The sequence below is a fragment of the Homo sapiens genome, chromosome 9 (genome assembly GCF_000001405.40).
Source record: "Homo sapiens chromosome 9, GRCh38.p14 Primary Assembly".
NCBI classification, from domain to species: Eukaryota; Metazoa; Chordata; class Mammalia; order Primates; family Hominidae; genus Homo; species Homo sapiens.
In genome coordinates, this window is record NC_000009.12 from 97536713 (window position 1) to 97563195 (window position 26483).

Genomic DNA, 26483 nt, shown 5'->3' on the forward strand with positions numbered 1-26483 from the left:
CCCTCCCTTCCCCGGCCCTTGGCTTCTTCCAATCCCTGATAAAGAGGTTTTACCACCTGTCCTGTCCTCTTCCAAGAAGCTGTGTGTAATTCAGTCACAGAATAGGAACCTGGGACCGCCAGAGCCCAGACCCAGGGGTCACGTTTTGCATTCCCTTGTTCTTAGATATAGCTGATGTATTTGGGAAAAGTGATAAAAATTCCTTGTTTTTTTGTCACTGTGAGGAACCAGGTTAAGGGGTTTTGCATGGTTTTATGCATGGTGAGCCACCAGTCTGAAGATAGTTATATAGATCCTTGACCATGCTAATATATATACATGCTAATTATATACAGTGTCATTTTTATGTAAGCTCAGGCTTCCCAGCTATGAGGCTAACAAGCTATGTGACTTTGGGCCAGTGACTTCAGTTTTCTATGCCTCAGTTTCCCCAATGGAAAATGAAAAAAATCATTGGTCTAGAGGATCTTTTAGGGCTTTATATTTCCGAGCTGCCAGGAGTCTGTGATCCTTTTAATGCATTGTGTGTGTTCATGCATGTGTGCGTGCATGCATGTGCACGTGTGTGCATGTCTGCACATGTGTGCACATGTGTGATCGTGCGTGCCTGTGTGTGCGGGTATATGTACGTGTGTGTGCATGTGTGTTGCCTCTGTGTGCACATCTGAACAAGCCCACAAGGTTCTAGGCAGGATGGCTTCTCACGTAGCCCTATCTATAGCAATGATAACTGTGCAGATACTTGATATTTAGCTTTACTGGCACCTGTTTGCAGGGTGTTAGAGCTCCTAACAGCACAGTTAAGGATCTGTCCAAGTTTCCATTGTCCTTTGAACAACTGGACTCCAGAGTGTGGGTGTGAAAATTAGACTGTGATGTTAGCCTGCCAAGCTGCACATCCGAGTTATAATTCTACAACATTTAAGGTGAAGCCACCATTTTAAAAATCAGGAGTTGGCAACTGCACACAGGAAAAGTTGCCTAATTTCCACCTCTATAGTCATTTTCAAGAACAAATTAAACTTTGTATTTTCAAAATTTAAAAAATTCTAAATTTAAAACCTATGTGTATACCTCTTGCTTTCTCTAGCCCAACACCTGATATGGTCAGGATACTCAGTAAATATTTGAGAAATAAATGAATGAATATTTTGGCTTTCTTACATGGAATCTTAGTTTGCTAGGAACCTTAGATCAGATGTGGCATAATGGCAGTTTATGGGCTGAGTCTGCCTTGCAGATATGTTTTATTTGGCCTGAACATTGTTATTAAAATATTTGGACTACGTGTCAATATTTTAAAATCAAGAGGTTTCACACAAAACTGAGCAGATCTAATAACAACATCCACATTCCTACATGTCAACAGTCCGCTGGAGCTGGGTAGTGTGGAGGCATGAACGCTCTAGTATGCCCCAGTCCCCAACACTCCCACGTAACTCACAGCTATTATATAATTTTAGCCTAAGATCAGAGATAATCTAGAATTTCCTCCTCCTTAAAACCTGCGCTAAATTTCCTATCAGGTAATGATAAAAAGATCATCCAGGTATTAGTCACTGACCTCCTCAGATGAGCAAATTTCCAATTGTTAAATAAGGACATAAAGATATCCTCAGATTCCTATATACAAATCTCACAACCTGTCTTTGGGGTAAGGATGTTTGTGTGACAAGTGCATGTGACTTTCAGTGCCTCTCATGAATTGACGGCTGCTTTGGTGGAGTCAGATTGATGCTTCCCTTTGAACTAACTACAAAAAAAAAAAGCACTTGCCCAGCAAATTTATCCTGTGCACATTTTAAGATTGAGATTTAAATTCCTTATAGGTTAAATGAGTTCAATTTCCCACAGGCACCATGAAAGTGTACCTTTAAATGTAATGTATAGGCTTGTTATAGATTCTTCTTTGCTATTCAGTAAAGTAGACCTTCCCCTCCATTTAGGATCTTGATTACCATGTGTTTAGTGAATAACTATGTGTAATTAAGATTTTTCTCTAGGCCAGGTGCGGTGGCTCATGCCTGTAATCCCAGCACTTTGGGAGGCCAAGGTGGGTGGATCACGAGATCAGGAGTTTGACACCAGCCTGGCCAACACAGTGAAACCCCATCTCTACTAAAAATACAAAAAAAAAAAAAAATTAGCCGGGCATGGTGGCATGCACCTGTAATCCCAGCTACTCAGGAGGCTGAGGCAGGAGAATCACTTGAACCTGGGAGGTGGAGGTTGCAGTGAGCTGAGATAGCACCACTGCACTCCAGCCTGGCCAGCACAGCCAGACTCCATCTCAAAAACAAAACAAAACAAAACAAAACAAACAAACAAACAAAACAGATCAACAAAGAAAAACTTTTCTCTAATTTTACTCTACTTTCTCCATTCACCTCTCATCTCCCTGGTTACTCCAATTTTTTTAATTTCTCTTTGTGGGATCATAGCCCTACATGTTAACACACTACCTGGACACATAGCATTCATTTAGCAGATGTTTATTGAATGAATAAGAAATAAGAGAATGAGAGGTGCTTTTCTATGCATACATGATCACCAAATACTCTCCTGGCCAGAGCCAACAACAGAATGGTTGTGGGAACTCTTTTCCTCACCTATTGAGTAGCCCGGGTGTGAGAGTCAGTATTAGGTTCTAATAATCATGAGAGCTCTATGGCGATATTTTCAGGTTCATTTAACTTCTCCACAAGTAATTTACATAATAAGGTAAATCACATTGTAAAACAGGCACCATTTGAAATTTGGCCAGCTCTAGCCTGGCCAGTCTCAGCATCACCGTGAACCACTGGCACATGAAGAGCCCTCTTGCCTCAGCATTCCATGACCATTTGGTGCAGTTACTGCATTAGCCACTTTTATCATTCTCCCATAGATGAACATATGCCATTTAAAAAAAACAGCTTTTTTGAGATACCATTCACATAGCATACAATCATCCACTTAAAGTGCACCATTCAGCCCGGGTGAGGTGGCTCACGCCTGTAATCCCAGCACTTTGGGAGGCCGAGGCGGGCGGATCACGAGGTCAGGAGATCGAGACCATCCTGGCTAACATGGTGAAACCCCGTCTTTACTAAAAATACAAAAAATTAGCCGAGCATGGTGGCAGGCGCCTGTAGTCCCAGCTACTCAGGAGGCTGAGGCAGGAGAATGGCGTGAACCTGGAGGTGGGGAGCGGAGCTTGCAGTGAACCGAGATCATGCCACTGCACTCCAGCCTGGGCAACAGAGTGAGACTCTGTCTCAAAAAAAAAAAAAAAAAAAGAAAAGAAAAAAAGAAAAAGAAAACAAAAATGCGCCATTCATTGGTTTGTTCTTTTAGCATATTCACAGAGTCGTATAACCATCATGATCAATTTTAGAACATTTTCATCACCTCAAAAAGAAACCTCATGCCCATTAGCTGTCACTCTCCATCTCCCTTCAACCTTCCCAGCTGTATTAACCTGTTTAGGCTGCTCTAACAAAATACCACAGACTAGGTGGCTTAAACAACAGAGACTTATTTTTGCACAATTCCGGAGGCTTAGAAGTCCCAGATCAGGGTCTTGAGGGGTTAGTTTCTGGTAAAGACTTTCTTGCTGGCTTACAGACAACAGCTTCTCTCTGTGTGTTCTCACGGTGACTGGTTGGGGAAGGAGGTGTTGCAGCAGCTCTCTGGTATCTCTTCTTATAGGGACACCAATCCTATCAGATCAGGGTTCCACCCTTATGACCTCATTTGACTTTAATGATCTCCTTACAGGCCCTGTCTCCAATTATAGTCACTCTGGGGGTGAGGGCTTCAACGTATGAGTTGGAGGCACACATTCCAGTCCATAACACCAGCCCTAGGCAACCACTAATCTACTTTCTGTCTCTACAGATTTGACTGTTCTGTACGTTTCATATATTGTATGGAATTGTATAATACATGGCCTTTTGTATCTGGCTTCTTACACTTAGTATGATGTTTTCAAGGGTCATTCACGTTGTAGTACTACGTTTTTTTTCACAGCTGATAATATTCAATTGTATGGGTATACCACATTTGTCTTATCCATTCATTAGCTGGTGAACATTAGACTTGTTCGTACTTTTGTTATTATGAATAATGCTGTTATAAATGTTCGTGTACAAGCATTTGGGTGGACATACATCTGCTGCATCATATGGTAACTTTATGTTTAACTTTTTGAGAAATTGCACAACTATTTTCCAAAAGGGTTGTATCATTTTACATTCCTACCAGCAGTGTATGAGAGTTCTAGTTGCTCTATATTCTCATCAGTACTTGTTATTATCTGTGTTTTTTTATTATTGCCATCCTGCTGGCTGTGAAATGGTATCTCATTCTGGATTTGATTTGCATTTCCCTAATGGATAATAGTATTGAGCATTTTTTCATGAGCTTTTTGGCCATTTTTATATAATCTTTGGAAAAATGTCTATCCAGATCACTTGCCCATTTTAAAAAATTTATTTATTTTTATTTTTATTTTTTTGAGATGGAGCTCTGTCACCCAGGCTGGAGTGCATTGGCACAATCTCAGCTCACTGCAATCTCTGCCTCCTAAGTTCAAAGGATCCTCCCACCTTAGCCTCACGTGTAGCTGGGACTGCAGATGTGCGCCACCATGCCCGGCTAATTTTTGTATTTTTAGTAGAGACGGGGTTTCGCCATGTTGGCCAGGCTGGTCTGGAACTCCTGACCTCAGGTGATCTGCCTGCTTCAGCCTCCCAAAAGTGCTGAGATTACAGGCATGGGCCACTGTGCCCAGCCACTTGACCATTTTTATTTTTTATTTTTTATTTTTTATTTTTTTTTTTGAGACAGTCTCACTCTGTTGATCAGGCTGGAGTCTAGCGGCGTGATCTCAGCTCACTGCAACCTCTGCCTCCTGAGTTCAAACAAATTTCATGTCTCAGCCTCCTGAGTAGCTGGGATTACAGGCATGCACCACCACGCCCGGCTAATTTTTGTATTTTTAGTGGAGACAGGGTTTCACCATGTTGGCCAGGCTGGTCTCAAACTCCTGACCTCAGGTGACCCACCCACCTTGGCCTCCCAAAGTGCTGGGATTACAGGTGTGAGTCACCACGCCTGGCCCATTTTTAAATTGGGTTATTTGTCATATATTATTGAGTTGTAAGAGATTTTTATGTATTCTAGATATGAAACTCTTATGAGATACATGATTTACAAATATTTCCTCCCAATCTGTGGTTTGTCTTCTCACTAGTGTCCTTCGCAGCACAAATGTTTTTAATTTTAATGAAGTCCAAGTAATCTACTTTTTTATTTTGTTGCTTATTGCTTTGATATCTTATCTAAGAAACCATTGCCTAATCCAGAATCAGAAGGATTTATGCCTATGTTTTCTTCCAAATGTTTTATAGTGTAGTTCTTATATCTAGGTCTTTGATTCACTTTGAGTTTTTATATATAATGGGAGATCACATGCTGTTTTTGAAAACGAGTTAAAGTGGTAAACAATCAGGAGTTTAAAAATATGCATCTATCTTTGGTTTTACTGACAATCATGTGATATTTTGTTAAACATACCATTTAATAGAAAGAAAACAAACTTTAACCTCTAATGAGGCTGATATTCTCAATATTTACTTTAAAAATGTGATAAGCTTAGAGTTATTAGAAAAGGCCTTTGACATTTTTGTTTTTACAAATCAACTGCTTTCAATAAAGACTTGAATAAATGAAGCCATATTTTTATGTTATGTAAATAATATTTTTGAAATACATTAAAAAATCTGTATTATATAACATGTTATAATTATATGGCTTTTTGTTTAATGCAGTGGCTCTCAATCAGGGGCAATTTTGCCCCTCAAAGGAAATTTGGTGGCTGGGCATGGAGGCTAATGCCTATAATTCCAGCACTTTGGGAGGCCGAGGCTGGTGGATCACCTGAGGTCAGGAGTTCAAGACCAGCCTGACCAACATGGTGAAACCCCGCCTCTACTAGAAATACAAAAATTAGCCGGGCATGGTGGTGGGCATCTGTAGTCCCAGCTACTGGGGAGGCTGAGACAGAATTGCTTGAACCCGGGAGGCAGAAGTTGCAGTGAGCCGAGATCACGCCACTGCACTCCAGCCTGGGCAACAAAGTGAGACTCCATCTCAAAAAAAAAAAAAAAAAAGGAAGAAAATAAAAGAAATGTGGCAATGTTTGGAGACATTTTTGGTTGTCACAACTGGGGGCAGTGCTACTAGCATCTAGGAGATAGAGAGCAGAAAGGCTGCTAAACAATCTCCAGTGGGTAGAGTGGCCTCCACAACAAGGAAGTGTCCAGCCCAGAATGTCAGTTGTGCTGAGGTTGAGAAACTCTGCTTTAACTAAATCCGTGGCCTCTACCAGATAGATTCGAAAAGAGATGAGAGTTTGCAAACCCTTCTCCCCTCAGTTACAACCCCTGAATTTCTTCTATCGCAATACTTAGCCTTTCTGGGGCCAGAACATGCCCCAGCATCTTACTGCCATTAAAACCCTTTATGGTAATGAAAATCTGTAGGCCTTCCCTGTGGGGATCCTTAAGAAGCATGAGCACTTGCTTTCACTGCTTAATTCATTTTATAATTGTGTGTTTTAGTTTTTTGAATTTATATTTGGATAATACATTCCCTGTTAAACATACATATTTGGGTAACCAATCTCCTATTAACATATATTCTACCTGATTATATAACAATAGAAGGGATCATAAGTAATAATTTTTGACCGTTTACTATGTTAGGCACTGTGCTGAGCACATTTTCTGCATTATCTAGTTTAATTTTCTCAACCACTCTATGAGAGAGCAACTCTCATTATTCACATTTTACAGCCATGGAAACTGAGGCACAATGAGATTTAGGGGACTTGCCCAAGATTGTGTAGTTGTATCATTATTACTCCAAGTCAGGGCTTAAGCCTGATGTAGGGTCAACTGTGAAGTGCAGGCATGTCACAAAGACTTTGGATTATTCATTATGGGTAGTCACACATTGATGTTTGCAGGGCAGTGAGGTATTGTCTCACTCTCTTGCATCACCATAAGCTCCCTGCTGTGGAAGAGAAGGCGTGGGCACACACAGCTAGCTACAGGAAGTCCCATCAAACCTGGGACATGCCCACAGAAGCATGGCTCACCTGGGAGCATCACCTGTCCTGCCTATCATGGTGGACAATATCTGAGAACTGCTGCTTAAGGAAAAGTGGGATGTGTGGAGCATCACTTATGTTCCTGATGCCCCCCACCCCAAAGTCAGTCAGGCCTTGATTTTCTACCTACTGTCCTCTCATAAAAAGCTCCAACTCCCAGTGTCTCTTTTGATCTGTGGCCTAAATCTCTCTGCAAGTACACCAGCACCACCTGCCAAGCCCATTATCTGTCTGTCCGGGCTCTGTGCTGGGTGGGCCCTGCTCACTTACAGCCCTCCCAGAGGCAGGATCACACCCCGGTCTCCTGATCTTACAGCCACTACTCTTACTGAAACAGCACTGTGGTGTTATGCATAGTACACCTTTTAAAAAATGATGCATTAGTTAGGCCAGATGTGGTGGTTCATGCCTGTAATCCCAGGGCTTAGGAAGGCCGAGGTGGGTGGATCATGAGGTCAGGAGTTCAAGACCAGCCTAGCCAATATGGTGAAACCCTGTCTTTACTAAAAATACAAAAATTAGCCAGGTGTGGTGGCATGCGCCTGTAGTCCCAGCTACTCGGGAGGCTGAGGCAGAAGAATTGCTTGAACCCGGGAGGTGGAGGTTGCATTGAGCCGAGATCACACCACTGCACTCCAGCCTTGGTGACAGAGAAAGACTCTGTCTCAAAAAAAAAAAGTAAAAAAAATTAAAAAGATTCCTTAAACAGTAGTATTCCCTCCCAAGCTGTATCCCTCTATGTGCCAGGCATACAGTGATCTTCATATCCCTGATAACAGTCCCCTCACAGAGGCAGCTTTCAGAAAAGGATATGGAGTTTGTGACAGTGACTGAAGATATGCATTTTAATGGTACAAAGATTGAAAGTGGGGCTGGGAACGGTAATCCCAGCACTTTGGGAGGCCAAGGCAGGCAGATCACTTGAGTTTGGGAGTTCGAGATCAGCCTGGCCAATATGGTGAAACACTGTCTCTATTAAAAATACAAAAAATTAGCCGGGCGTGGTGTCAGGCACCTGTAATCCCAGCCACTCAGGAGGCTGAGGCAGGAGAATCGCTTGAACCTGGGAGGCAGAGGTTGCAGTGAGCCGAGATTGCGCCACTGCATTCCAGCCTGGGTGCAACAGAGCGAGAGTCCATCTCAAAAAAAAAAAAAAAAAGGTTGGAGGTGGAATGACTCTTCAGTTTAGTCAGTTTGAGGGTGCATATCTTTTGGGTGATGTTCTGCCCATACCAGCCACCCATGTATTCCTCTAGCTCTGCAAATGCAGGGAACAGGGAGCACACAACGATTAGAAATGGTCATCCTCCTCTCGTAAATCTGAAGAAGAACGCTGGTTTTTGTTCTAGATCTGTCCTGAAATTCCTTGGGCAAATCTTTCCTTGCTCTGTGCCTCAGTTCCCCTAATGGGAGAGTGTGTGCACTGATGATCTCTAAGCATCCTTGCAGCTATAAACTTCTTTGACTCCCTAAGGTACTGGGGGCTGAGTTAAAGTGAAGCCCATGAGGATAACTCCAATCCCCCCAATAGGAATCTGCTTTAGCAGTAAGCCCACACCTAGAAGCCTGCTTATGTTTGAAGAAGAGAAGGGAACAATTGGTTGATGTTATGTTTCTTGAGATACCCATCTCCAGGGGCGACGTTCAAAATATTTAACCACCAGTGTGTTGTGAGCACAGACCCGTCAGGAGGTTAGAAGGCAGCGGGTAGGGCCAGCAGGGACTGTGGCCAGAGAGCATGCCCCGTCCTCCTCTTAGCTCTGCAGGGCACTGCTCACCTCGCTGCTTTCCTGGGCCTTTCTCCAGCTTTTTTTTTGGTCTGCCTCTTCCTGCCTGATTCTCCATCCAGGGCCCCAGCTTAACCCTCTTTTGGCTTCTTCTCTCTCCGGAGCCACCTGATACTCAACTCAACTCCTGTGAATATCTTTATGCATCCAAACAACAACTCAATCATATTCATCACTCAGCAGATGCTCTTTCAGTGCCCTCTGTGCTCAGACTGGAGTCGGCTGCCTTGACCCCTCACCTCCTCTCCTTCAAAAATGTTAGAGGCAGGGATGGGCTGGAGGATTGAGACCTGAGTCCTAGCCTCTCTCTGCCCCTTGTCTGCCTTTGACCTTGGACAAGTCCCTCCCTGTCCTGGGGTTTCAGATTCCTTACTTGTAAAACGAGGAACACCATGGATTCCATGAGCTCTGAGGTCCCTTCTGTTCGATGATGAGTTTCTGGAGAAGTGCAAGTCTTCAGCAGCTGACCACTCTCTCTTTCTCTCTCTCTCTTTCTCTCTCTCCTGCCCCCCCACAACCTCCAATGTAGAATGCACTGCTGCCTGCAGGCCTGAGGCAGAAGGATCAGACCACCAAGGCGCCCACGGGCCCCTTTAAAAGAGAGGAGCTCTTGGATCACTTGGAAAAGCAAGCAAAGGAGTTTAAGGACCGAGAAGATCTGGTCCCCTACACAGGGGAAAAACGAGGTACTGAACAATGTTACTGTTATAATATGCCACTCCCCATGCACCATTGAGTGCCGACTGTATGCCAGGCCCTGCCAGGCCCTGTGTTGGGCCAAATGTGACTGGGCCTCCTTGTCCTCATCCCTGCCTGGCCAAAACACCCAAACCCAACTTCAAAAGCATCTATGGATGATGTAGATTTCATGAAGTTTTGGGGGTAGACTGAGGAAAGACTCCTATCCACTCAAATCAGCAAAACTTTTCCCTAAACCCTCTTTCACTAGGATGTCCTGATTATTTTTTTACGCAAACCTAAACAGTTTTGAGAGTAAAAGAAGAAACTGTTAATAACGACATCAGGACTTTGGGAGACCGAGGCAGGCAGACCACCTGAGGTCAGGAGTTCAAGACCAGCCTGGCCAACATGGCAAAACCTTGTTTCTACTAAAAATACAAAAATTAGCCGAGCATGGTGGCACGAGCCTGTAGTCCCAGCTACTCAGGAGGCTGAGGCAGGAAAATCGCGTGAACCCAGGAGGTGGAGGTTGCAGTGAGCCAAGATCGCACCACTGCACTCCAGCCTGGGCAACAGAGTAAGACTCCGTCTCCAAAAAAAAAAAAAAAAAAAAAAAGACATCAGGACATGAAGCCTAAGCAGGGACCATCCTATGCAAACCAGGGACTAGAGATGCACTAACCATCTCCACCCAGATTCTCTCTGCTCTTTCTCCAAAGTTCCTCTCTCTGGCAGCTGCAGCTTCCCTTCCTTCGTCTGTCCCATTATACTCTCTGCTCCAGCCTGAGGCAAGCCATCTTGAAGGCCCCAGGAAACAGAGAGGGCCTCCCTGACCATCCATTCTAAGACTTCCCGTTGCTCTCCAAACCCTCTGCCCCCCTCCAATATCCCCCTCATCCCATTGTTCCACAGGCCTCCTTCTGCTGTTCTCAAACTTTCCACCTCAGGACCTTTGCACATACTCCCTATGCCTGGAGTGCTGGTCCTGCTGCCCAGCTCCATGCTGTCTTCTTCATGGCTGGCTCCTCCTGCCCGGTAAGATATAATAGTCAGAAACAGCCTGGAGCTACATCTATTTGAGTTGCAATCCTGGCACTACCACTTACTAGCTGTGTGAACATATGTAAATGTTTTAACCTACTGTGCCTCCATTTCCTTCTCTGTAAAACAGGGATGATGAAAATACCAGCCTCATGAGGTTGTAATGAAGGTTAAGTGAGTTCAGATCTCTGTCAAGCGCTTAGAACAGCATCTGGCAGGAAATGAATGCTACTTAAGTATTAGTTGTTATTGTCCTTTGGGTCTCAACTGTACAGTCTTCTCTTTCAGGGAAGCCATCCCTGTCTACTCTGTTCAGGACAGGCAGTCCCTCTCCAACTTCCTGGCTTGGTTATTTTCCAACACAGGAGCCTGTGTGTGTCCTTCAGAGCAACTCACATCTTATCAGCATCTCTTTATTTTTCATCTGTCTCTCTCACTAGCCTGTAAACTCCCTGAGGGCAACCACTTGGGCTGTTTTTGCTCAAGTGGTACTCCCAGCATGCAGCCAGTGCGAGGCCTGCCATATAGTAGGGGTGAGTAGAGAGTTGTTGGATGAATGGATGAGCTAAAATTAAATAAATGTTTAATGGATTTGTGCACTACTTCATTAGAATACCAGCTACAGGAATGTAAAGACCATATCTGTCTTGTTCATCATTTTGTTCCTGGCACCTAATAAATCCGTAGCACATAGAAGGCACCTAATAAATATTTGTTGAATGAAAGCACTAATTCTAATTAATTAATTGTGTAATTAATTGTTTCTTTTCAGTCTCTTCCATTCCCTCCACCCCTAAGAATGCAAGCATTGTGAGCCCCAGGTCCACATCTGTGGCTGGCTCCCCTGTATCGCAGTTGTATTTGCACAATGCCCAGCACTAAGTAGCTGCTTCATAAAATGAGTACGCACATGGGGGTAGACATTGTGCAGAGGACTTCAAACCATTCCAAATCCTGGACTTGGAGCTCAGTCCAGGTTTCACTGAAAACTGGAAGTCCAGGGAGGCCTAAGGGGCATCTAGATTATAGAACTTCTGAATTTTGAAAGGATCGCGTGGTCAGAGGGATCCTGGAGGGGGTGGCAGGAGAGAAGGTGAGGACGAGGGCAGGGAGTGGGGATGGGCAGCAGACCTGGGTGGACACCTAGCGAGGTGAGTCATTGCTGGTGTCCACTTCCTCATGTACCCACACCCCTCCCAGGGGAGGACCTGGAGGATGGTGTGAGGGATGGGGAAGGGAGTCTGAACGGTACAGAAATCAGTCCTGCCACTCCTCCAGCTCTGGACTGGGCAGAGCTGGGGAAAGCTCTCTAGCCTCCCAGAGCTGGACTGTCTTCATGAAAAACCAGGCTGACCAAGGAGAATAGTTAGCATTCATTCTACTTCCATACAGCAACAAGCCCAAAAGGTTCATCATCATCGTCATCATCATCATCATCTTGGAGTATTTGAATGCTAGTTGTTGGAGTTCTTATGACTTGAATAAGTGGAGGTCTCAGAGCCAGTGGGGCAGGAGACCCTCCAGCTCTGACTGGCAGGCTCAGGGCCATTCACTCCAGCCTCTACCAAGCACTTCCCCCACACCAGGCCTACAGTCAGCTTGGGCTGCTGGGAAACAGCACCCCACACCGCAAGACCTGATAGTATGTGGGAAGAGCCATAAACTGGCACAAAGCCCTGAGGAATTTGGAAAGGGAGGCCTTCTCATTCAAGTGGGAGAGACCAGAATATAGCTCCAGGCAGGATGTTTTCATTAGAATTAGATTTGGCTGCATGTGCTGGGGGGATAAATAAAAGTAACAGAGACTTAATCGAGGAATTTAATTTTCTTAGGCATTCCAGGGCTAGTAAGGCATATTCCTTAGCATCGTGGATCACAACCCTTTCCAGCTTTTCATTCTGCCACCCCTACAACCTGTCTTTGTCCTCATGGTCTATCTGGCTGCTGAAGCTCCAGCCATCACATTCACATGCCACTAGTAAGATGAAGGGAAGAAGTCTAGGTACCTCTTACAGTGGCTCAGAGTCACCATCCTCACTGGAGGAACCTGTTATGGGGTATAATAAACCACAGGTCTTAAATATTTATTGAATATTCATCTCAGCCATTGCATTAGTCATTTTAATACTTGAGTTCCTTTTTAGGGGTTTTATTTTCCTTGTGTGTTTTCCTCTTTTCTGGATCCCTGGAATCTGATATTAACAGAGGTTATGATACATTTTTTTCCCCAAATGATTCTGTTGTGTGTTTTGCTGATAGAGGTAATTGATATTTGCTGTAAACAGTTTACACAATAAAGCTAATTGATTCACAATCATTTCCTCACTGAAAATAAGCACTGATCCCATTTTAGGGAATATCTTTCTGGACATTTCTCTATGCGCTTCCCACTCCCTCTCAACCTTCACCACTATGACCCTGGTATTGCACCCACACCAACCTCCTAATCATCTCCGTACCTCCACCCGCCCTCCCTTCAGCTTATCCTCCATCAACAGCTACTGTGAGCTGTGTAGGTTTTTGTAAATTGAGGTAAAACTTATATAACATAAAATTAACCATTTAAAAATGAACAATCCACAACATTGTGCAACCACCACCTCTATCAAGGCCCAAAACACTTTTATTGCTCCAAAATAAAACCCTGTACCTATTACAGTTAGTTACTCTCCCACTCCCTCTGCCCCAGCCCCTAGTACCACCAATCTGTATCTATGGATTTACTTATTTTGTATACTTTCTACAAATGAAATCATACAATATGTGACTTTGTGTGTCTGGCTTCTTTCACTGAGCACAATGTTTTCCAGACTCATCCATGTTGTAGCACGAATCAGTGCTTTATTCCTTTTTATACCTGAATGATATTCCACAATTTGTGTATCCATTCATCCACTGGTAAACAGTCAGTTATTTCCACCTTCTGGCTATTGTGATTAATGCTGCTTTGAACATTCTTGTAGAAGTATTTGTTCGAATACCTGTTTTTAATTCTTTGGGAGTATATACCTATGGGTGGAATTGATGAATGATATAGTAATTCTATGTTTAATTTTTTGAGTAACTGCTAAACTTCTTTTCCATAGCAACCATACCACTTTACACTCCAATCAGCAATGTACGAGGGCTCCAATTTTCCACATTGTTGCCAACATGAATTTTCCATTTTTTAAAATTGTAGCCATCCTCATGGGTGTGAAGTGGTATCTCATTGTAGTTTTGATTTGCATCTCCCTAACAAGCCATGATGTTGAGCATCTTTTCATGTGCTTGTTGGCCATATGTATATCCTCTTTGGAGAAATGTTTATTCAAGTCTTTTACCCATTTTAAAATTGGGTTGTTTTTCCTTTTGTTGTTGAGTTGTAAAAGTTCTTTCTGTATTCTAGATACTAGACCTTATCACATATATGGTTTTTGAATATTTTTCCCCTTCTGTGTATTGTCATTTCAATTTCTTGATAGTATCCTTAGATGCTCAAAACTTTTAAATTCTGATGAAGTCCAGTTGATCTATTTTTTCTTTTGTTGCTCGTGTTTTTGTTATCATATCTAGGACTCCACTGCCAATTCTAAGGTCATAGAGACATAACCTTATGTTTTCTTCTAAGAATTTTATATATATATATATATATATATTTTTTTTTTTTTTTTTTTTTTTTTTTTAGATGGAGTCTTGCTCTGTCTCCCAGGCTGGAGTACAGTGACACAATCTTGGCCCACTGCAACCTCCACCTCCCGGGTTCAAGTGATGCTCCTGCCTCAGCCTCCTGAGTAGCTGGGACTACAGGCACGCACCATCACGCCCGGCTAATTTTTGTATTTTTAGTAGAGATGGGGTTTTGCCATGTTGGCTAGGCTGGTCTCGAACTCCTGACCTCAGGGGATCTGCCCATCTCACCCTTCCAAAGTGCTGGGATTACAGGCATGAGCCACTGCGCCCAGCCTGAATTTTATAGTCTTAACTTATATTTAAGTCATTCCATTTTGAGTTCAACTTTACATATGGTGTGAAATAGGGGTCCAACTTCATTCTCTTGCATGTGGATATTCAGTTGTCTCAATACCATTTGTTGAAGCGATTACTCTTTCCCCATTGAATGCACCTTGCACCCTAGTTGAAAATCAATTTGCCATAGATGTTTGAGTTTCTTTCTGGACTCTGAATTCTATTTCATTGTCTATCTATCTATCCTTACGCCAGCACTACACTGTTTAGCTTTTTAGTAAGTTTTGAAATCAATAAGTATGAGTGCTCTAACTTTGCTCTTTTTCAAGATTGTTTTGGCATTTGTCGCCCGTAATTCCATATGAATTTAAGGATCACCTTTTCTGTTTCTGGGAAAAGGACTGTTGGAACTTTGATAAGGATTATATTGGATCTGTAGATTGCTTTTGGTAGCATTGCCATCTTAATAATGTTAAGTGTTCCAATCCAAGAACTTAAAATATTTTTTCATTTATTTAGGTCTTTAATTTCCTTCAGTAATGTTTTATAATTTTCATTGTACAAGTCTTTCACCCCTTTGGTTGAATTTATTCCCAAGTTTTATTCTTTGGATGTATTATAAATGAAATTGTTTTCTTAATTTCCTTTTCAAATTTTTCATTGCTGATGTACAGAAACACTGCTAATTTTTGTATGTTGATCTTGTACCCTGCAATATTGCTGACTTTGTTAGTTCTAATAGGTTTTTTTGTGTGGAAATTCAGGGTTTTCTATACATAAGATTATGTCTTCTACAAATAGAAACAATTTTACTTCTTCCTTTCCAGTTTGGATTCCACTGACTTCTTTTTCCTGTCTATTTATTCTGACTGAAACTTCCAGTGCAATGTTGAATAGCAGCAGTAAAAGTGGGCACCCTTGTCTTGTTCCTGATCTTAGGGGATCATTTCCTCACTTCTATCAGGTCCCAGGTCACAAGCTGTCATCTCAGTGAGGCGTCCTCTGACTAGCCTTCCCAAAACAGCGGTGCACACCCCACCCACAACCCATCCTGTCATCTTCTAGGCCCTTGTCCTGCTTTGTCTTCCTCCATAATGCTTAATACCATTCCATATCTTTATACGTTTATTATTGCTCTCCTTTCACTACATCAGAAGCTTTTGAGGATTTTACTCACTGCTGTCCCCTAGCCCCCAGAAAGGTGCCTGGCACATAGGAAGCACTCAATAAATGTTGTTGAGTAAATAAATATACATATGCAATTTCTCATAAATGGAATTAAATTGTTAATGCTACTTTGTAAGCTTGCCTTTTTCACACAACATTTGTCCTAGGCATTCTCCTTCTTAGTAAGTAGCAATTGCCATCATCCTTTATACTAACTGCTGGAAGTCCATTGTATGGATGCACCATAATTTCTTCACCAGTTCCTATGGGTGGGCATGACAGTGACTGTCCTCATACGTACCTCTTTACTCCCCTTATTCCGTTATGAATCTGACACTTTAAAAATATGATAATGAGGCAAGGATGCATTATTTTTCTCCCTTTTCATATTTTATTTGTTTGTTTAGAAATGTTTATACATTTTTCTCTCATTTCCCAAGGTCTCAGAACCTTTGGTTAAGGTATCCCATACCCTGGCATTCTATTATATTTTTCTTTCATATTTTTTTCCTACTTACAGATTGTTTGGTCATGACCAATGCTTTTGATAGAGGGTAGTCAGCTTGGACCAAGTTATAAAATCATTCTTTTCAAGTGTGAGGGGTGCTGTGTTGGAGATCCCTGATTCCTATTCTTTGGAGAAGTTGGTCCCCAGAGGGAGAAACCTGAAGGGACTCTCAGCATGGAGGGACCCACAGGGCTCTACAATGGTCCACGCAGGGCTGTGGGTCCACCAGAGGCTGTTCCATTGCAGCCACTCCCGTAACAGGTCCCCTGTGTGTTTGCAGGAAAGGTCTGGGTTCCTAAGCAGAAGCCACTGGATCCTGTGCTGGAAAGTGTGACGCTGGAACCGGAGCTGGAGGAAGCCTTGGCAAATGCTTCAGATGCAGAACTCTGTGACATTGCAGGTAAGAGGCGTTCCAGGAGCTTTCCACATCCTCCAGAAGGATTTGACCCACATCTGCAGGGAGCCTTGTAGGGCTCATTTCAGCATGAACACCTTCTCTATTTCTAACAAGAACTAGAGGAGACCGAGAGTGTTCAAACAACAATCCATTCTCAAAAACCAAAACAAGGAAAATAGAGAGAAAACCACGCAAACCCACCACACCAGGGAGCCATCTGCTGTTGCCATGAGACCCCATGCCAGAGGGACGTGGGTGTATCTCAGGGAGAGCCCACAGACGCCCTTTCCCAGCCATTAGCGTTGAATCCTGCCCAAACCATTTGGGAAGAGAGGATAGAGGGAAAACAGACAGAGGGCCTCTGGTTTCTTTGGCTTGGGAGGCTCACTAAGGGCTTGATTTTTACAACTTTGCACTTTGCCTGCAGTTGGCTCAGTGAGCCGGCTTTGAGGGGTCACCCTTGTATATCGCATATTTGCCCCATGCCCTCCATCTTCATATGTGTTTCCATATGATCTTCAAAAACTACCCCCAAAACTCCAGAAGGTGGCCTGATATTCAGAGCCCTTTGCCCCACTCCCTGCCTCCCCCGACTTCTCTGCTGCTCCTGTCTAGTTTCTGTCCCACTGCTGTGGTGTTCCATCCCCACAGGAAGGTCAGGCTCTGGCCACATCCGGCACCTTGTGCACTCCCTCCCCACCTACTGTGCTCTCTGATCCAGGGAGTGGGTGGGTTTTTATTCTGCAGGCTTGGAGACTGCTAATCATAGCCCAGGTGATGGCAGGAGGGTGGGCGGGGTGGGGAAAGGCTCGAGGCAGGTGGGCAGGGGAGAGGGTAGAAGGGGATGCCTGTGACTGATTGGCTGTGAGAGTGAGGTAGAAGAGTGAAGCAGGGTAACCTCAGACACTAAGTGGTGTCGGTGCCATTAGTGATGGATGGCAAGGGAGGAGCAGGAAGAGGGGAGATACAGAGTTCAGTTTACAACCTGTGGCACTTGAGGCACCTGTGGGCCACCCAAGTAGGGTCAGTTGTATAGGAAGTTCTGGAGTGCTACAGGAGGTTCCCATTCAAGATAGAGATTTGGGCATCATTAGTGTTGTCAAGCTCCAGAAAGAATACATGGCCCTTGTAGAAGCCTTTGGTGGTGGGGGTTGGGGGCGGGGGTGCAAATCGTGGGAATGGGGCAAAGCTGGAATGTGGATCAGTTAGCCACAAATAGGCTGAGAACCAAAGGCCAAATCAAGATGGGCAGAATTGGATGCAGGAGCCACAGAGACAGAGTGAGGGTTCAGGGCTGGCCAGGAGACTCAGAGGCATGTAAGCCCAGAGGCCACGGCGGAGGTGGGAGGGCACCAGCACCAGCACCAGGGACTTGACAGGCCACAGCTGCCTTCTGCGACTTGTGAGTAGTGTTGTGCATGACTTTGGTGACATTCGTTCAGGGGTGGGGGAGCCACTGGGGGATGTGCAGGGGCAGTGAGAAGACTCAACTATACACAAGGGGCACTCTGGGTGGTGACAGGTGAAGCCAGGTCTGGGGGACCTGAGGAGTGAATGCGGAAAGCCAGTGTGTAGATCCCAAGTCCAGACAGCCCTTTCCTCAGGAGACAGGGAATTTGAAGGACAAAGGGCAATGGCTTGAAGGGTATTGGGACTGAGAGAGAATGGTTTTCCCTTTCACTATGAAGTACAGAAGCAGTGAGTGCTTCACCCAGCTGGGAAGGTAGCACTTAACTCCGGAACCTAGTTTGCTAGGGCAGGGATTTATTCTGTCAGAAGCCACACGAGTCACAGTAGATCCTCCATTGAGCCCGTATATTATACATCACACTTCAACCAAACCATCTCCCCGAAGTCCCTTGAGGTCGGGTTAATCTGTGAGGCAGGGAGGTGGCTGATGCCTTGGTGCGGCATCTCCACATGGACTGGGGCTGTTTTTACCCTGGACTTTCTCCTCCAATCACGCTTCATGACGTCACTCCCCTCATTAGGCAGCTCAAAGGGATTATCAAATGACTGCCGGCGCCTGCGGTTCCTGTGCCAGGTCAGAGCTGCAACTCTGTGCTACGTTTCTGTGTGGCTTTCTTGAAACTACTTCTCTTTATTTTTGTTGGCGTGGCTATTTATTGTTATCTGTAACGACGCAATATGCTGCCGAAGTCTGGGAAGGAGAGGGGAGCTGTAAGTCTACACCAGTGTTAACTGGCTAACCTTGGATGCCTGTCATTTGATGTTGGACATTTGAAAGATGGCAGCATCTCTGGGGAAGGAGGGACTGAACACTTTTGACCACCTACCATGTCCCAGGTTCTATGTGAGTTGCTCTCAAGACCTTATTGCATTTATTGACCAAAACAATCCTATGAAGGAAATTTTATTACTGTCCCCATTTTATGGATGGAGAAAGTAGGCAAGGTGTGGTTAAATGCCTTGCCCAAAGGGTTTAAACCCAGGCAACTTCATTCTAGGGCCTATGTGCAGCATCATCACCCAGTGTCACCTGAGTGAAGCCCTCCAGGGTAGGGGAGGACACAGAGCACAGAGGGTAGGCAACAGAGGGTGATGGGCAAGGCTGGAGAAGTTGGCTGGGGACCCGGGGAGGGGGTCACATTAGAAAAGGCTCTGGATGCCACACCAAGGAGATGAAACTTGGGACTAGGGGCATGAAGGAGAGCTAGATGGAAGCAGGAGTTTGAGTGGAGAGGAGGGGGTGTTCTGGAGGATGGGGGAATGGAGGAGGCAGGCCTTCGATGAGGCCGAGGCCTGGGCAGAGCTGTGAGATTGCATCTGAGATGCAGCTTCACCAAGAGCCCAGCTGTTCCTAGTGCCGGCTCAGAGGCCGAGCAGCTGAGATGGTACCAGTCTTTCTAGCCTGAGGCAGCAGAAAACAGGCTGGGTGGCTGATGAGGAGTGCTCTGCCGAGAGCTGACTTCAGAAACTCCGCATGAGATGAAGGCTGGACTTCGAACATGGTGTTGGAGGTGCTGGGCGGAGCAGGCCCACCAGAGAGTGGTGGGTGGTTGGAGCCTTTTTCACAGAGCGGGTGACTGGGACCAAGAGTGTGGGTAACTCACTGGAGGAAGAAGAGTAGGGAGAGGAGGACATGGGGCGTCCAGGTCACCTGTAGTTGGTATGGCCTGTCTCCCAAGTGGAACATTTCCATCAGCTCAGCTCTGGCTTGCTCACTCACACACACAGTCAGTGCTGTCCATTTAGTCTCTGGACTAGGCTCTGGCAAAAGAATGGTAAGAAAACAGCCCAGTTTCCACCCTCACAGAGTCTACATTAAACAAACACCAGGTAAGTATGAAATGACAAATGAGAGTGAGCGTCTGAACAGAATCAGTACAGCGTGTGAGGGAGGCACTTGGGGTAGGGCTGGGGGAGACCAGGGAAGAGCTATGGAGAAGAGCCTAGGAGCAGAAGAGTAGCAGTGAGAAAGTGCGGAGAAGGTCCAGGGCTTGGGAGCGGCAGGAGGAGCGGTTCCGGGCTGGGGAGGGCAGGCCCCTCTGAACGGAGTGGCCTGGCAGGCTTGCTATCTGCTGATGGGAGGAGCCTGGAGGGCAAGCTCAGGTGTGCCCTCCTAACTCAGGTGTGACACGGGTGAGATGCATCACTCATGTATTCACCTAACTGCTCACTAAGCCAGTGCACATTATTGAACTCCTACTGTATACTAGGATGAACAGGAGCCAGTCCTTGCCTTTGGGAGGCCCAGGAGGTGATGAGGAGGACAGACGAGAAACATGTATTTTTTTTTTAACCTTAAAATCTTTTATCACTTCAACATGTAGATTTCAACATTAAAAGCGTCCCTGCTGGGCAACAAGCAGAGTGCACAGGTTCCTGGCAGGGCTAAGTTCTTGGCGCATAGCCTACAGGGTTGTAGGTCAGAGGCTGCTGGGAGTCAGCAAGCACTTGTAATTCGCAGTGCCTCCCCTGCCCACTCAGGGAGGTGATGCTGGCTGGCTTTAGGGACCCTTCAGGTGGGGCAGAACCCAGGAAGGAAGTGGGGTAGGGAGACTCATCGTTTAGATGGGACAGCCTCGGGCCACTCACCCCCAAGGGCAGTTGGCAACCTGGGGGTCTTGCAGCTATCAGAGACAGGCTTAGCCAGGCCACCCCCTGGCTTCTGGCTACTTCCGTGTGCTTAGGCACCTGTCCTGCTACCCTGCCAGTGGCAGGGTGTATCTTATCCAGGAGCAGCTCAACTGCATCCAAGTCCTGGGCTGGAGCCAGTTTCTCCCACCTGTCCCTGGGATGCAGGAGAACATCTTCCAGCCATCTGCCCAGAGCCAGCCCGAGCAGCTGGCAGCAGGAGGAGCCGGGGATGTGTGCTGTTATCTCTCTGCGTCCTGAGTGGAATTACCAAATGAGTGAACTCTGCCAAGGCAGGGAGAGGAAACAGAACTCAATGTTCTTTTTCAGAGTTCAAAAATAGTCCTTTTTGAGTTTTGAGGAAGATCTAGACTTAAAAAAAAAAAAAAATCAAGTTCCCCAGTGCTAAATTCAGCCTTGCCAATATCTACAAAGAATGAAGCAACAGGCAATGTTGATGTGCCGTTTTCTCCCGTCACTCACTTCTGTTGACGTGGAGTGTGGCACAAAACCAAGTGAGAGGGAAAGTTGCGATTTTGTGCCTAGGGCTGGCAGAAGGTAATACTAGCCCCAGGCATTCTGCCCATCAGTGGAAATCTAGCTGGGCCCTTCCCTTCCTTCCTCTTTCCCTCCTTTCTTCTTTTCGTCCTTCCTTTTTGTAATTCTAATTTCCTCTGAGCTGCAAAATGGTTTTATTTCTTCTTAGCCCTGCTGTTAACATATGTAACCTCCTAGAATAAATATATGTTATCTGTCCTTAGGATGCCAAAGTCAAAGGGAAGTTTTAGAACTTTAGAACTGCTAGTGACCTAGTGAATGAGAATACTAACTTAAAAGCCACAAGAGTCTTTGCTGTATGGTTTTGGCGAACCATTTCCCTCTTGAGCTTGCTGGAAAAGTTGGGGGTGGGGGGTCTACCACAGCTACCCTGGATGCTGTTTGTTTGTTTGTTTGTTTGTTTGTTTTTAGACAGAGTCTCACTCTGTTGCCCAGGCTGGAGTGCAGTGGCGTGATCTCGGCTCACTGTAACCTCCACCTCCCAGGTTCAAGCAATTCTCCTGCCTCAGCCTCCCAAGTAGCTGGGATCACGGGCGTGTGCCACCATGCCCTGCTAATTTTTGTATTTTTAGTAGAGACGGGGTTTCACCATGTTGGCCAGGCTGGTCTTGAACTCCTGGCCTCAAGAGATCCACCCACCTCGGCCTCCCAAAGTGCTGGGATTACAGGCATGAGCCACTGTGCCCAGCCCCTGGATACTTACTGTAAAAGTCAAACAGGATAAAAACATGAGAAATTGTTGTGTCACTAAGTCCTATGGGTAGGTAAGAGATCAGTTTAAACACTCCATTTTACAGGTGAGAAAACTGAGCGTCCCCCCAGCCCCCAAAAAGGAAGTGACCTATACAGGGTTACCCAGAAAATTCATACCAAGGCTCAGCCTGAAATGCAGGTCTGCTTCCTCTTGGTCTCCCAGCAGTCTCGTGTAACTTCACCGCCTCCATCCCTTTTCTAGACCATCACAGGAAGCTGGCATCTGTGTGCCAAATGCACTTTCTATTTTCCACCTCTCTCCACTCTAAGCCACACCAGTCAGCCATATGAGGCTACATCTTTTATATGATCCCCGCAAAACCTGTACGAAACCCCAGCACATCCCAGAACCCCCGTGAGCTGCTCCGTGGGAGCTGGAGAGCCTGCCCCAGAATGGGACTCCTTCTTGGTGATCTGATTCACCTGCTGCTGACTCAGGCCTCAGCTTCTGTTGCCCACGTAGATGCAGCCTAAATTAAAACCCACGAGAGCTTGAAAAAATGCAGATGCCTCTCTCCCCACCAGTTCTCTTAGTGATGAACAAGCAAGTCTAATTTTAGCAGAGAAGAATCTTAGAATGTGAGAAACAGAAAGGACTTTGAGATCATCTCATCTTGTGGTTTTCGACTCTCACTCAGCAACAGAATCACCTGAGGAGGTTTAAAAAAAAAAAAATCGGCCGGGCGTGGTGGCTCAAGCCTGTATCCCAGCACTTTGGAAGTCCAAGACAGGCGGGTTACTTGAGGGCAGGAGTTCAAGACCAGCCCGGGCAACATGGTGAAACCCCGTCTCTACTAAAAATACAAAAATTAGCTGGACGTGGTGGCACGTGTCTGTAATCCCAGCTACTTGGGAGGCTGAGGCAGGAGAATCGCTTGAGTCCGGGAGGTGGAGGTTGCAGCGAGCCAAGATCATGCCATTGCACTCCAGCCTGTGCCACAGAGCGAGACTCCGCCTCAAAAATTTAAAAAAAAAAAAAAAAAAAAAAATATATATATATATATATATATATATATATGTCTATCTATCTATCTATCTATCTATCTCCAGAGATTCTGATTGGTTGGTCCAGGATGGAGAGAGGCACTGATATGGTCTTAAAGCTCCCTGGGTGATCCATGTGTGCAGCCTTGACCGAGAGCCACTGGTCTTGTCTCAAGCCCTCATTGGAAAGAGAGGTTGAAGCCTAGACAGGGGAGGAGAACTGCCCAAGGTCACACTGACATCAGGGGCATGGTCAGGGCTGGAACTTGGGTTTCCTGACTCTTCATTAAGGGCTCCCATATTGTCTCTCTAACAGGAAACCATATCTAATCAAGTGACTTGGATATTTTTTAAAAAATCACCACCAAATATTTGCTAAATACCGTATTCAGGGAGAGGTGGAAGAGAAAATATCCTTCTCTGACCTCCAGAAGCCTACAGTCTAGTAGCAGAAGCAGACGTGTATCTAGATATGTCTAACACCACATAGATTCTGAGGCATACACCAGGTGCTGTGGGAGAATTAGAAAGGGAGAGGAGGAATCCAGGAAGACTCCCTGGAGGAGGAAGAGTTACTCCTAGTCTTGAAGGATAGGGCCATAGAGTTGTTAGATAAAATACAGTATGATCAATTGAATTCAAATTTCAGAGAACAACAAATATGTCCCAATATTGAATGGGGCGTACTTAGCTAAAAAAAAATCTGGTGTTGGCCGGGCGAGGTGGCTCACGCCTGCAATCCCAGCACTTTGGGAGGTCAAGGTGGTGGATCAAGAAGTCAGGAGTTCAAGACCAACCTGGCCAAGTTGGTGAAACCCTGTCTTTACTAAAAATACAAAAATTAGCCGGACGACAAAAAATACAATATTTTTTGTATTGTATATATATATATATAAAGTATTTATATATTGTATATATAAAAAATACAAAAATTACAGGATGACACTCCTGTAATCCCAGCTACTCGGGAGGCTGAGGCAGAGAATTCCTTAAATCTGGGAGGTGGAGTTTACTGTGAGCCGAGATCTCGCCACTGCACTCCAGCCTGGGCAACAGAGCGAGACTCCATCTCAAAAAAAAAAATTTGTTGTTTATCTAAAATTCCAAGTCAAGTGGGTGCAGAGAATCACCAGCAGAAGGGAGAGTACTAGCAAAAGCAGGAGCAGCTATGAGCAGGGGCTGTTTGTGTAGCTGGAGCAGAGAAGCTGTTGGGAGGGGGAGTGCAACAACACTGGTGAGGTGGGGCCAGCCCAGGGAAGGCCTGTGAAGCCAGGCTCTGGGTTTGGATTTGGCTGTACAAGCCACTGTCCTCCCATCTGGACAGCTGCAACAGCCTCACAGCTCTGCAGCCACATCCATCTCTCCCCTCTGTAGTGAGTTCTCAACACAATAATCAGAACTCAGGTCAGACCATCTCACTTCCTGCTCAAGCCTCTAATGGCTTCCCAGGCTGTTCCTAGGAAAAGACACCCGAACTCCTTACTCAGCCTAGAAGACCCTGTAGAATCTGACCTTGCCTAGGTGAATAAAATCTACTCCAGAGGGTTATTGGGCAGATCAAGGAGGGGAGTGTCAGGCAATGGTTCTCAACCTTGGCTGCTCATTGAAACCATCCAGGGAGCTTTAAAAATGCAGGTGCCTGAGCTCCACCCCCAGATATTTTGGGTTAATTGGTCTAGGGTGGGACTGGGCATCAGGAATTTCAACAGATCCCCAGGTGATTCCAGTGTGCAGCCAAATTGGGAATGATGGATACAAAGTGTCTTCCCTGGCCCAGAGCATGTGCTCAGTGAGAGGGGTGGTGTTGCCATGCGTCTGATTATTACCGCCACACATCCAGCTTCTATCCTGTTTCCCCCAGCAGTGATTGTCACAGCTGTGTCATCACTGGTGTCCTGGCCTTGGCCTCTTCCTACTCTCCACCTCCCAACATGCAGCACAGAGCAGCTGGAAAGGTCTTTCCTGAAATGCCAACCTGACCTTCCTCCCTCACTGGCCTGCCACTCTCTGAACCTCGAGGCTTTCCCACCTGCATTCCTCTGCCTGTAATGTTCTATAGCCCTTCTCTTAACTTGACCAACACTTACTCCTCCTTTGCATCCCAAGTTCCTCTTTTATGCTGTCTTAGGACTGAACTTTTTCCTCTACCACACTCAGCATACCCTGTGCTGGTTTTTCATTGTGTGGGAACTTGCTTGGCTCCTCTCTCCCCCAGCACACTTTCAGCTCCATGAGCGGAGACCCAGTCTTTCTTATTCTCCACTGTCCCCACCAGAGCCTAGCACACAGTGCTGGGGTGGGCCTCATTACATGTTGAACAAATGAATGGATGAAAGAATGGCTGAGCACGGGAGCAATAAGATCAGGTTGGCATTTCCAGAAAGAGCTTTCCAGCTGCTTTGTGCTGCATGCTGGGAGGTAGAGGGAAGGAAGAGGCCAAGACCAAGACACCCGTGATGACACAGCTGTGACAATACAGCCAAAGAATGATCAGGCCTCCATTAGGATGGAGATGATGGGATGGGAGGGGGACAGATCTCAGAGACACTGGGATGGTCAAATGGGCTTATGGGGAGAAGGTGCCACATTCCCTGATGTTTTACCCTGAGGGACAGGCAGGATGACAAGATGGAAAGAGAGCCTTCCAAAGAAAGAGGCTGTCACTGGAAAGAGCCATTCTGGTTTGGCCACGTTGAGCTGGATGTGCCAGCAGGACATCAGGGAATCAGAGGCCAGGGGCAGAGCAGCCTGGGCTGGGGCTGGGGATTTCAGAGTCACATCAATAGAGGTGAGAGTAAAAGTAAAATAAAATTTTGAAGTTTTCATGCAAGTGTTTCTTGCCATTTCTGTGAGCCAGAGTTCCCGGGGTTTGGAGTGTGGGTCCCTAGGAGGCTCTTCTGTCTGCAGAGGCACATCATGAGCCCTTCCCTTGTCCCTGCAGCGATCCTGGGCATGCACACGCTCATGAGTAACCAGCAGTACTACCAGGCCCTGAGCAGCAGCTCCATCATGAACAAGGAGGGGCTCAACAGTGAGTATGCGCCCGCCCCCAGGAGGGACCTCATGCTTCTTGCTTCCTCCACTCACTGATGTTCTCTGGCTCATTGCAGAAGTTTTAACATGTTATATAGCCAAATCTGTTCATCCTTTCCTTTGAGTCTCCTGGGATTTGTGTCTTGTTTACAAAGGCCTTCTCTATCCCAGTATTATAGAAATGTTCTCCTATATTTTCTTCTAAAAGTTTTAGAGATTTACTTTTTATATTCAACTTTTTCTTTTTTTAGACAGGGTCTTGCTCTGTCAGCCAGGCTGGAGTGCATTGGCACAATCTTGACACACTGCAGCCTGGACCTCCTGGGCTTAAGCGATCCTCCCACCTCTGCCTCCTGAGTAGCTGAGGCTACA

General features: G+C 45.6%; 1 protein-coding gene across 3 annotated transcripts in view, besides 5 other annotated features; it reads left to right on the forward strand.

Annotated features, from left to right (window-relative positions):
• Positions 1–26483, forward strand: part of TMOD1 (tropomodulin 1) — a 100564-nt gene that overhangs the window by 35533 nt on the left and 38548 nt on the right. For 2 of the 3 annotated variants that reach the window (NM_001166116.2, NM_003275.4), the window contains exons 3-5: positions 9473–9629; positions 16569–16688; positions 26020–26109. In NM_001166116.2, coding sequence (NP_001159588.1) covers positions 9473–9629; positions 16569–16688; positions 26020–26109 — 367 coding nt within the window. The remainder of the gene's footprint in view (positions 1–9472; positions 9630–16568; positions 16689–26019; positions 26110–26483) is intronic. The other variant, XM_047423825.1, reaches the window with a different exon arrangement.
• Positions 10875–11169: a silencer, noted in NCBI's record as "tiled region #7780; HepG2 Repressive non-DNase unmatched - State 23:Low". NCBI's record gives its function as "represses a minimal TATA promoter and a strong SV40 promoter by Sharpr-MPRA in HepG2 cells {active_cell/tissue: HepG2}" and the evidence as "EXISTENCE:reporter gene assay evidence [ECO:0000049][PMID:27701403]".
• Positions 19037–19538: an enhancer, noted in NCBI's record as "H3K4me1 hESC enhancer chr9:100318031-100318532 (GRCh37/hg19 assembly coordinates)". NCBI's record gives its function as "activates a minimal SCP1, AML or CMV promoter by ChIP-STARR-seq in primed H9 embryonic stem cells {active_cell/tissue: H9 hESC(primed)}" and the evidence as "EXISTENCE:reporter gene assay evidence [ECO:0000049][PMID:30033119]".
• Positions 20247–20748: an enhancer, noted in NCBI's record as "H3K4me1 hESC enhancer chr9:100319241-100319742 (GRCh37/hg19 assembly coordinates)". NCBI's record gives its function as "activates a minimal SCP1, AML or CMV promoter by ChIP-STARR-seq in primed H9 embryonic stem cells {active_cell/tissue: H9 hESC(primed)}" and the evidence as "EXISTENCE:reporter gene assay evidence [ECO:0000049][PMID:30033119]".
• Positions 22302–22411: an enhancer, noted in NCBI's record as "active region_28667". NCBI's record gives its function as "activates an Ori minimal core promoter by ATAC-STARR-seq in GM12878 lymphoblastoid cells {active_cell/tissue: GM12878}" and the evidence as "EXISTENCE:reporter gene assay evidence [ECO:0000049][PMID:35858748]".
• Positions 22422–22841: an enhancer, noted in NCBI's record as "active region_28668". NCBI's record gives its function as "activates an Ori minimal core promoter by ATAC-STARR-seq in GM12878 lymphoblastoid cells {active_cell/tissue: GM12878}" and the evidence as "EXISTENCE:reporter gene assay evidence [ECO:0000049][PMID:35858748]".